We start from the raw sequence: 12,349 nt of genomic DNA, 5'->3' as shown, positions 1-12,349 counted from the left end.
ATTTGTTTATGAAAACAATTTTAAATTGTTATCAGGTTAAAATAATGAGTTACAATATAGTATTTGCAAGCCTCATGGTAACCACAAACAAAAAATGAACATACCATGGATACACAAAAAGTCAAAAGCCAGAAACAAAAACATATCCCAATAAAAAAATCACATTTACTAAAGGAAGACAAGATGAAATGAAAGAAGAAAGTGAAGACCACAAAACAACCAGAAAACAAATAATAACCTGGCAGGAGTAAGTCCTTACTTACCAATAACATTGAATGTAAATGGACTAAACTCCTCAACCAAAATACTAGCTGAGTGGCTAATAAAGCAAGACCTATTGATTTGTTTTTTATAAGAAACACATTTCTCCCATAAAGATACAAATAGAAATAAAATAAAGGGATGAAAAGATATTTTATGACAATGAAAACAAAAAAAAAATAACAGGAGTTGCTATATTTAGACAAACCAAAATTCTAGACAAAACCTATAAGAAAAGATAAAGAAGGTCACTATATAATAATAAAGGGGTTAACTCAGCAATAGTATAAAATAATTTTAAAAACCTATGTGTATATATATATATATATATGCACCCAACAGTACAGCACCCAGATATATAAAGCAAATATTGATAGAAATAGAGACATAAGACCAAATACAATTATAGCTGGAGACTTCAGTAACCCCACTTTCAACATTGGGCAGATATTCCAGACAGAAAATCAACAGAGAAACATCAGATTTAATCTTCACTATAGAACAAATAGATGTAATAGATATTTACAGAACATTTTATCAAAAAGCTGCAAAATACACGTTCTTTTTCTCAGCACATGGATCACTCTCAAGGATAGACCACATGTTAGGTCAGATAACAAGTCTTAAAACATTCAAATAAAGGGAGTGGCTGGCAAGATGGCCAAATAGGAACAGCTCCAGTCTGCAGCTCCCAGCAAGATCAGTGCAGAAGGCAGGTGATTTCTCATTTCCAACCAAGGCACTTGGCTTATCTCAATGGGACTGGTTAGACAGTGGATGCAGCCCACGGAGGGCAAGCCAAAGCAGGGTGGGACATCACCTCACCAGGGAAGCACAAGGGGCAAGGGAACTCCCTTCCCTAGCTAAGGGAAGCCATGAGGGACTCTGCCCTGAGAAATGGTGCACTTCAGCCCAGATACTGCGCTTTTCCCATGGTCTTCGCAACCCGCAGACCAAGAGATTCCCTTGGGTGCCTATGCCACCAGGGCTCTGGGTTTCAAGCACAAAACTGGGCAGCCATTTGGGCAGACACCCAGCTAGCTGCAGGAGTTTTTTCCATACCCCATTGGCACCTGGAACGCCAGCGAGACAGAACAGTTCACTCCCCTGGAAAAGGGGCTGAAGCCAGGGAGCCCAGTGGTCTAGCTCAGTGGATCCTATCCCCACAAAGCCCAGCAAGCTAAGATCCACTGGCTTGAAATTCTCGCTGCCAGCACAGCAGTCTGAAGTCAACCTGGGATGCTTGAGCTTGGTGAGGAGAGAGGCATCCACTGTTACTGAGGCTTGAGTAGGTGGTTTTCCCCTCACAGTGTAAACAAAGCTGCAGGGAAGTTTGAACTGGGTAGAGCCCACCAGAGCTCTGCAAAGCCGCTGTAGCCAGACTGCCTCTCTAGATTCCTCCTGTCTGAGCAGGGCATCTCTGAAAGAAAGGAAGCAGCCCCCGTCAGGGGCTTATAGATAAAACTCCCATCTCCCTGGGACAGAGCACCTTGGGGAAGGAGCAGCTGTGGGCGCAGCTTCAGCAGACTTAAACTTTCCTGCCTGTCGGCTCTGAAGAGAGCAGTGTATCTCCCAGCACAGTGCTCAAGCTCTGCTAAGGGACAGACTGCCTACTGAAGTGATTCCCTGACCCCCAGGCCTCCTGACTGGGAGACACCTCCCAGCAGGGTTTGACAGACACCTCATATATGAGAGCTCCAGCTGGCATCTGAAAGGTGCCCCTCTGGGATGAAGTTTCCAGAGGAAGAAACAGGCAGAAATCTTTACTGTTCTGCAGCCTCTGCTGGTGATACCCAGGCAAACAGGGTCTGAAGTGGACCTCCAGCAAACTCCAGCAGACCTGTAGCAGAGGGGCCTGACTGTTAGAAGGAAAACTAACAAACAGGAAGGAATAGCATCAACATCAACAAAAAGGATGTCCACAGAGAAACCCCATCTGAAGGTCACCAACATCAAAGATCAAAGGTAGATAAATCCTGAAGATGAAGAAAAACCAGCATAAAAAGGCTGAAAATTCCAAAAAACAAGAATGCCTCTTCTCCTCCAAAGGATCACAACTCTTCGTCAGCAAGGAAACAAAACTGGACGGAGAATGAGTTTGACGAATTGGCAGAAGTAGGCTTCAGAAGATGGGTAATAACAAACTCTTCCGAGTGAACAGAGCATGTTCTAACCAATGCAAGGAAGCTAAGGACCTTGATAAAAGGTTGGAGGAATTGCTAACTAGAGTAACAAGTTTAGAGAAGAACACAAATGACCTAGTGGAGTTGAAAAACACAGCACGAGAACTTCATGAAGCATACACTAGTATCAATAGCTGAATTGATCAAGCGGAAGAGAGGATAACAGAGACTGAAGATCAACTTAATGAAATAAAGCATGAAGACAAGATTAGATTGAAAAGAATGAAAAGGAACGAATAAAGCCTTCAAGAAATACAGGACTATGTGAAACACCAAACCTACATTTGATTGGTGTACCTGAAAGTGATAGGGAGAATGGAACCAAGTTAGAAAACACTCTTCAGGAAATTATCCAGGAGAACTTCCCCAACCTAGCAAGACAGGCCAACATTCAAATTCAGGAAATGTAGAGAACACAGAAGAGCAACTCCAAGACACATAATCATCAGATTCTTCAAGGTTGAAATGAAAGAAAAAATGTTAAGGACAGCTGGAGACAAAGGTCAGGTTACCCGCAACAGGAAGCCCATTAGACTAGCAGCAGATCTCTCTGCAGAAACCCTGCAAGACAGAAGAGAGTGGGGCCAAGAATCAACATTCTTAAAGAAAAGATTTTTCAACCCAGAATTTAATATGCAGCCAAACTAAGCTTCATAAGTGAAGGAGAAATAAAATCTTTTACAGACAAGCAAATGCTGAGAGATTTTGTCACAACCAGGCCTGCCTTACAAGAGCTCCTGAAGGAAGCACTAAATATGGAAAGAAAAAACTGGTACCAGCCACTGCAAAACATACCAAATTGTAAAGACCATTGACACTATGAAGAAACTGCATCAAATAATGGGCAAAATAACCAGCTAGCATCATAATGACAGGATCAAATTGACACACAAGAGTATTAACCTTAAATATGAATGGCTAAGTGCCCCAATTAAAAGACACAGACTGGCAAATTGGATACAGTCAAGACCCATTGGTGTGCTGTATTCAGGAGACCCATCTCATGTGCGAAGACACACATAGGCTCAAAATAAAGGGATGGAAAAAGATTTACCAAGCAAATGGAAAGAAAAAATAAACCTCAGGGATTGGAATCCTAGACTATGGTAAAACAGACTTTGAACCAACAAAGATCAAAAAAGACAAAGAAGAGCATTACATAATGGTAAAGGGATGAATGCAAGTGGAAGAGTTAGCTATCCCAAATATATATGCACCCAATACAGGAGCACTCAGATTCATAAAGCAAGTTCTTAGGGACCTACAAAGAGACTTAGATTTCCACACAATAATAGTGGGAGACTTTAATACCACACTGTCAATATTAGACAGATCAACGAGACAGAAAATTAACAAGAATATTCAGGACTTGAACTCAGCTCTGGACCAAGCAGACCTAATAGACATCTACAGAACTCTCCACCCCAAATCAACAGAATATACATTCTTCTCAGCACCACATTGCACTTATTCTAAAATTGACTACGGAATTGGAAGTAAAACACTCCTCAGCAAACACAAAAGAACAGAAATCATAACAAACTGTCTCTCAGACCACAGTGCAATCAAATTAGAACTCAGAATTAAGAAACTCACTCAAAACCACACAACTACATGGAAACTGAACAACCTGCTCCTGAATGACTACTGGGTAAATAACAAAATTAAGGCAGAAATAAATAAGTTCTTTGAAACCAATGAGAATAAAGACACAACGTACCAGAATCCCTGGAACACAGCTAAAGCAGTTTTCATAGGGAAATTTATAGCACTAAATGCCCACAGGAGAAAGCAGGACAGATCCAAAATTGGCACCCTAACATCAGAATTAATAGGACTAGAGAAGCAAGAACAAACAAATTCAAAAGCTAGTAGAAGACAAGAAATAACTAAGATCAGAGCAGAACTGAAGGAGATAAAGACACGAAAAGCCCCTCAAAAAATCCATGAATCCAGGAGCTGGTTTTGTGAAAAGATTAACAAAATAGACCGCTAGCCAGAGTAATAAAGAAGAAAATTGAAAAGAATCAAGTAGACAAAATAAAAGTAATAAAGGAGATATCACCACCGATCCCACAGAAATACGAACTACCATCAGAGAATACTATAAGCACCTCTACACAAATAAACTAGAAAACCTACAAGAAATGGATAAATTCCCCGACACATACACCCACCCAAGACTAAACCAGAAAGAAGTCAAATCCCTAAATAGACCAATAACAAGTTCTGAAATTGAGGCAATAATTAATAGCCTAGCAACCAAAAAAGGCCCAGGACCAGACAGATTCACAGCTGAATTCTACCAGAGGTAAAAAGAGGAGTAGGTACCATTCTTTCTGAAACTATTCAAAACAACAGAAAAAGAGGGAATCCTCCCCATCTCATTTTATGAGGCCAGCATCATCCTGATTCCAAAACCTGGCAGAGACACAACAACAACAAAAAGAAAATCTCAGGACAATACCTTGATGAACATCGATGAAAAAATCTTCAATAAAATACTGGAAAACTGAATCCAGCAGCACATCAAGAAGCTTATCCACCACGGTCAAGTCGGCTTCATCCCTGGGATGTAAGGCTGATTCAACATACGCAAATCAATAAACATAATCCATCACATAAACAGAACCAATGACAAAAACCACATGATTCTCTCATTAGATGCAGAAAAGGCCTTCGATAAAATTCACAACCCCTTCATGCTAAAAACTCTCAATAAACGTGGTATTGATGGAACGTATCTCAAAATAATAAGAGCTATTTACGAGAAACCCACAGCCAATATCATACTGAATGGGCAAAAGCTGGAAGCATTCCCTTTGAAAACCAACACAGGACAAGAATGCTGTCTCCCACCACTCCTATTCAACAAAGTATTGCAAGTTCTAGCCAGGGCAATCAGGTAAGAGAAAGAAATAAACGGTATTCATATAGGAAGAGAGATTGTCTCTCTAAAGTCAAATTATCTCTGTTTGCAGATGCCATGATTGTATATTTAGGAAACCCATTTTCTCAGCCCAAAATCTCCTTAAAGTGATAAGCAACTTCAGCAAAGTCTCAGGATACAAAATCAATGTGCAAAAATCACAAGCATTCCTATACACCAATAATAGACAAACAGAAAGCCAAATCATGAGTGAACTCCGATTCACAATTGCTACAAAAAGAATAAAATACCTAGGAATACAACTTATAGGGGATGTGAAGGACCTCTTCAATGAGAACTACAAACCACTGCTCATGGAAATAAGACAGGACACAAACAAAGGGAAAAACATTCCATGCTCATGGATAGGAAGAATCAGTATCGTGAAAATGCTGCCCAAAGTAATTCATAGATTCAATGCTATTCCCATCAAGCTACCATTGACTTTCTCTGCAGAATTAGGAAAACCTACTTTAAATTTCATATTGAACCAAAAAGTAGCCTGTATAACCAAGACAATCCTAAGCAAAAAGAACAAAGGAACAAAGCTGGAGGCATCACGCTACCTGACTTCAAACTATACTACAGTAACCAAAACAGCGTGGTACTGGTACCAAAACAGATATATAGACCAATGGAACAGAACAGAGGCCTCAGAAATAATGCCACACATTTACAACCATCTGATCTTTGGCAAACCTGACAAAAACAAGCAATGGGGATAGGATTCTGTATTTAATAAACAGTGTTGGGAAAACTGGCTAGCCATAGGCAGAAAACTGAAACTGGACGCCTTCCTTACACCTGACACAAGAATCAACTCAAGATGGATTAAAAACTTAAATGTAAGACCTAAAACCATAAAAACCCTAAAAGAAAACCTAGGCAATATTGTTCAGGACATAGGCATGGGCAAAGACTTCATGACTAAAATGCCAAAAGCAATGGCAACAAAAGCCAAAATTGACAAATTGGATCTAATTACACTAAAGAGCTTCTGCAACGCAAAAGAAACTACCATCAGAGTGAAAAGGCCACCTACAGAAAGGGGGGAAATTTTTGCACTCTATCCATCTGACAAAGGGTTAACATCCAGAATCTACAAGGAACATAAACAAATTTACAAGAAAAAAAAACAAACAACCCCAACACAACGTGGGCAAAGGATATGAACAGACACTTCTCAAAAGAAAACATTTATGTGGCCAACAAACATGAAAAACAGCTCATCATCACTGGCCATCAGAGAAATGCAAATCAAAACCACAATGAGATACCATCTCACGCCAGTTAGAATGGTGATCCTTAAAAAGTCAGGAAACAACAGATGATGGAGAGGATGTGGAGTAACAGGAACACTTTTTACACTGTTGGTGGGAGTGTAATTTAGTTTAACCATTGGGAAGACCGTGTGGCGATACCTCAAGGATCTAGAAACAGAAATACCATTTGACCCAGCAATCCCATTACTGGGTATATACCCAAAATATTATAAATCATTCTACTCTAAAGACACATGCACACTCAGGTTTACTGTAGCACTATTCACAATAGCAACGACTTGGAACCAACCCAAATGCCCATCAATGATACACTGGATAAAGAAAATGTGGCACATGTACACCATGGAATACTATGCAGTCATAAAAAAAGATCAGTTTATGTCTTTGCAGGGAGATGGATGAAGCTGGAAACCATCGTTCTCAGCAAACTAACACAAGAACAGAAAACCAAACACCACATGTTCTCACTGATAAGTGGGAGTTGAACGATGAGAACACATGGACACAGGAAGGGGAACATCACACACCAGGACCTGTCAGGGGGTGGGGAGCTAGGGGAGGGCTAGCATTAAGAGAAATATCTAATGTAGATGACGGGTTGATTGTTGCAGCAAACCACCAAGGCACATGTATACCTATGTAACCTGCACGTTCTGCACATATATCCCAGAATTTAAATATATCTAAAAAAAAAAAACATGCAAATAAGGTAAAATAATATGAAGCAACTTCTTGGAACACAATGAAATAAAACTAGAAATTAATAACAAGAGTAATTTTGAAAACTATGCAAACACATGGAAAATAAACCCTATGCTCCCGATTGACCAGTGTATTAATGAAGAAATTAAGACTGAAATTTAAAATTTTTTGGAAACAAATCATAATGGAAGCACAACATAACAAAACTATGCGATACAGCAAAAGCAGTTCTAAGAAGGATGTTTATAGCTATAAGCTTCATAAAAAATAAGAACATTAAAAAAGGGGAACAACTAAAAATAAACAATCTAATGATGCATATTAAAGAAAATCAAAACAGAACCAAAAATTAGAAGAAAACAAATCGTAAAGATCATAGCAAAATAAATAAAATGTAAATAAAAAAACAATAAAAAGACCAATGAACCAAAAATTTGTTTTCTGGAAGTTAAACAAAATTGACAAACCTTTAGCAGACTAAGAAAATAAGAGAGAAGATCCAAAGAAATGAAATCAGAAATAAAAAAGAGACATTACAACTGACACTGAAAAAATTCAAAAGATCATTAGTGGCTACTATGAGCAACTATATGCCAATAAATTGGAAAATCTAGAACAAATGAACAAATTCCTTGACACATATGATCTACCAAGAATTGAACCAGGAAGAAATCCAAAACCTGAACAGACCAACAACAAGTAATGATATTGAAGCCGTAATAAAAAGTCTCCTAGTAAATAAAAGTCTGGGATCTGGTGGCTTCACTGCTAAATTCTAACAAACATTTGAAGAAGAATTAATAACAATCCTACTCAAAATATGCAAATAAATAGAAGAGGAGGGAATACTTCAACGCTCATTCTTAGAGGCCAGTAGTAGCCTGATACTAAAACCAGACAAAGAGACATCAAGAACAAAGAAACAAACGAAATACCTGCAGGCCAATATCTCTGATGAATATTAATGCAAAAATACTCAAAAATACAATCAAACTGAATTCAGCAATACATTAGAAAGATCATTCTTCATGACAAAATAGAATTTATCCATGGGATGCAAGTTTGGTTCAACACACTCAAATCAATGTGATGAATCATATCAATAGAATGAAGTGCCATATTATCATTTAACCTAATGCTGAAAAAGGATTTGATAAAATGTAATGTCCCTTCATGATAAAAACCCCTTAAAAAATAGGTATAGAGGAAACATAACTCAACATAATGAAAGCCATATGTGACAGACCCACAGCTAATATTACACTGAATGAAGAATACTGAAAGCCATTCCTCCATGATCTAGAACACTACAAGGATACCCACCGTCACCACTGTTATTCAACATACTGGAAGTCCTAGCTAGAGCAATCAGACAAGAGAAAGATATAAAGGGCTTCCAAATTGTAAAGGAAACACTCAAATTATCCTTCCTTGCAGAGCATATAATCTTGTATTTGGAAAAACCTCAAGATTCCACAAGAAAACTATTAGAACTGATGAACAAATTCAGTAAAACTGTAGGATACAAAATAATGTACAAAAATCAGTAACATTTTTATATACCAAAGGTGAACAATGTGGAAAAAATAAAACAGTAATCCCATTTACAATAGCTACATGTAAAATCAAATACCTTGGAATTAACTTTCCAAAGAAGGGAAACACTTCTATAATGAAATCTATAAAACACTGATGAAAGAAATTAAAGAGAACACCAAAAAATAAAAAAAACTCCATGTTTATGAATTGGAAAAATTAATATTGTTAAAATGTTCATACTACCAAAAGCAGTTTAGAGGTTTAATGAAATCCCTATCAAAATACCAATGACATTCTTACAGAAATAGAAAAAAAAAATCCTAAAATTTATATAGAACCACAAAAGACCCAGAATAGACAAAGCTATTCTAAGCAAAAAGAACAAAACTGGGGGAATGGTTACCAAAGGTTGGGAAGGGTAGCGAGGAGGTTGAGGTGGGAGGTAGGGATGGTTAATGGATTAAAAAAGAAAGTAAGAATAAATAAGATCTACTATTTGATAGCACAATAGATTGACTACAGTCAATAATAATATATATTTTAAAATAACTTAAAGAGTGTAATTGGATTGTTTGTAACTCAAAGAATAAATGCTTGAGGTGATTGATATCCCATTTGGCATGATGTGCTTATTTCACATTGCATGCCTGTATCAAAACATCTCATCTACCTTATAAATTTATACACCTATTGTGTACTCACAACATTTTTAAAAAATGAAAAGGGAAATCTAGAGGAATCCCTTTACCTGACTTCAAATTATACTACAGAGATATACCAACCAAAACAGCATGGTACTGGCATAGAAACAGACATATAGACCAATTTAACAGAAATCCACACACCTACAGTTAACTCATTTCCAACAAATATGCCAAGCACATACACTGGGGAAAAGACATTATCTTCAATAAATGATGCTGGGAAACTGGATATCCATATGCAAAAGAATAAAACTAGACTCTTGTCTCTCATCGTATACAAAAATCAAATAAAAATGGATTAAAGACTTAAATCTAAGACCTCAGAGCATGAAACTACTACAAGAAAACATTGGGGAAAATCTCCAAGACATTGGTCTGGGCAAAAATTTTTTGAGCAATTCTCCAAAAGCACAGGCAACCAAAGCAAAAGCAGACAAACGTGATCACATCAAGTTAAAAAGCTTTTGGACAGCAAAGAATACAATCAACAAAGTGAAGAGACAACCCACAGAATAGAAGAAAATATTGACAAGCTACCCATCTGACAAGGCATTAATAACAAGAATATATAAGAAGCTCAAACAACTCTATAGGGAAAAAATCTAACAATCTGATAAAAAAAATAGGCAACAGATTTGAATAGACATTTCTCAAAAGAAGACATACAAATGGTAAATAGGCATACAAAAAAGTGCTCAACATCACTGATTATCAGAATAGTTCATATCAAAAGTACAATGAGATATCATCTCACCTGAGTTAAAATGGCTTACATTTAAAAGACAGGCAATAACAAATGCTGATGAAAATGTGGAGAAAAGGGAACCACTGTACCCTGTTTGTGGGAATGTATATTAGTACAATCACTATGGAGAAGAGTTTGGAAGTTCTACAAAAAACTAAAAATAGAGCTACCATATGATCCAGCAATACCACTGCTGGGTGTATACCCAAAATAAAGAAAATCAGTATATCGAAGAGATATCTGCACTCTCATGTTTGTTTCAGCACTGTTTATAATAGCTAAGATATGGAGGCAACCAAAGTGTTCATAAACAGATTAACGTATAAAGAAAATGTGGTACATACACACAGTGGATTACTATTCAGCCTTAAAAATAAAAGAGCTCCAGTCACTTGCAACAACATGAATGGAACCTGAAATTATTATTATAGGTGAAATAAGCCAGACCTAGAAAGACAAACATCACATGTACTCAATTATTTGTGGGATCTAAAATCAAAACAATGAAACTCATGGACCTAGAGAGTAGAAGGATGGTTACCAGAGGCTGGGAAGGGTAGTGGGGGCTGGTGGTGGGGGTTGGGAATGGCTAATGGGTACAAAAAATAAAAAGAATGAATAAAACCTACTATTTGATAGCACACCAGGGGAACTATAGTCAATAAGAACATATCTATACATTTTTAAATAATTTAAATAATGTAATTCCATTGTTTGCAAGTCAATAGATAAATGCTGAAGAGGAGGGATACCCCATTCTTCATGATGTGCTTATTTTACATTACATTCCTGTATCAACACATCTCACACATCTCATGTATCTCATAAACATATACACCTACTATGTACTCTCAAAAATTAAAAATTAAAAACAGAAAAAATAAACAAGAATTAGGACTCTTAGCAAGTTAACTAGATACAAGATTTGTATACAAAAAAACTGTACCTGTCTTAAAACCATAATAAACTCATAAAATATAAACAAAAATTCTAAGAATGTCTTAATAAAAATATATAGAACTTAATAAAAAATAGAGATGGCTTTTTATTCCAAGCTAATATTTTTTTGAATTTTAAGCCATAATACTACTTTTTATAAAATAGTGGAATTTTGCTAATATCCACAATTAGTAGGTATACCAATTTTAGAATAATTTATAACTTTTTTTGCAACTGCGATCATTCTCTGTGTGAAGTAAGTTACCTTGTCTTTACTATGGGCACACATGCTACCCAGAAAGTTACAGTATGCACGAATACATGCTGTTCTGAGCATCTTACCCATCTTGGATTTTCCATGAGAGCCCTTAGGTAAATAAATTCTTTCACACAATGACAGTTACATGAAACTTGGAAACATGCTGGATAATAAAACTAAAACTTTGAACTCATTTGAAACATAAAATATTTTACTAGAAATATACATTGGAGTTAAACAATACACATAAAATATACTTACTATATACTATTGATTGAATCATGTCCCCACAAAATTTGTATATTGAACTCCTAACTTCCAGTACCTCACAGTGTGATCATATTTGGAAATGGGGTCATTGCAGATATAATTAGTTAAGATTATGTCATTAGGAAGGACCACAATCCGATATGACTGTTACCCTTAGAAAAAAAGAAAATTTGGACACAGAGACAGACATAAACACACATAAAGGGAAGATTATGTGAAGGACCAAAGGAAAAAGATGGCCATCTATGAGCCAAGAGGCCTGGAACAGATCTTTTCTTTATAGCCTTCAGAAGGCACTAACCAGGCCTACACCTTGATTACAGACTTACAGTTTCCAGAACTGTAAGCCAATAAATTTCTGTTGTTTAAGCCACGTAGTTTGTAGTATTTTGTTACATAAGCCCTGACAAATACATACACTGTACGTGGCATGTAATTAAAACCATATGTGCTTCATAGACCACACAGTTTGAAATTATTCTCTTCATGGGCAACTTCTAATGTAGTAAATCTGCAATGATGTTAGGACTGCAGG

The 12,349-nt window shown here is 36.8% G+C and overlaps 1 annotated feature.

Annotated features, from left to right (window-relative positions):
- Positions 727–1,267: an enhancer, noted in NCBI's record as "H3K27ac-H3K4me1 hESC enhancer chrX:94100291-94100831 (GRCh37/hg19 assembly coordinates)". NCBI's record gives its function as "activates a minimal SCP1, AML or CMV promoter by ChIP-STARR-seq in naive H9 embryonic stem cells {active_cell/tissue: H9 hESC(naive)}" and the evidence as "EXISTENCE:reporter gene assay evidence [ECO:0000049][PMID:30033119]".

This window comes from Homo sapiens, chromosome X, assembly GCF_000001405.40.
Source record: "Homo sapiens chromosome X, GRCh38.p14 Primary Assembly".
NCBI lineage: Eukaryota > Metazoa > Chordata > Mammalia > Primates > Hominidae > Homo > Homo sapiens.
The sequence above is the reverse complement of the archived record's forward strand: the minus strand, read 5'-3'. Positions and strand labels throughout refer to the sequence as shown.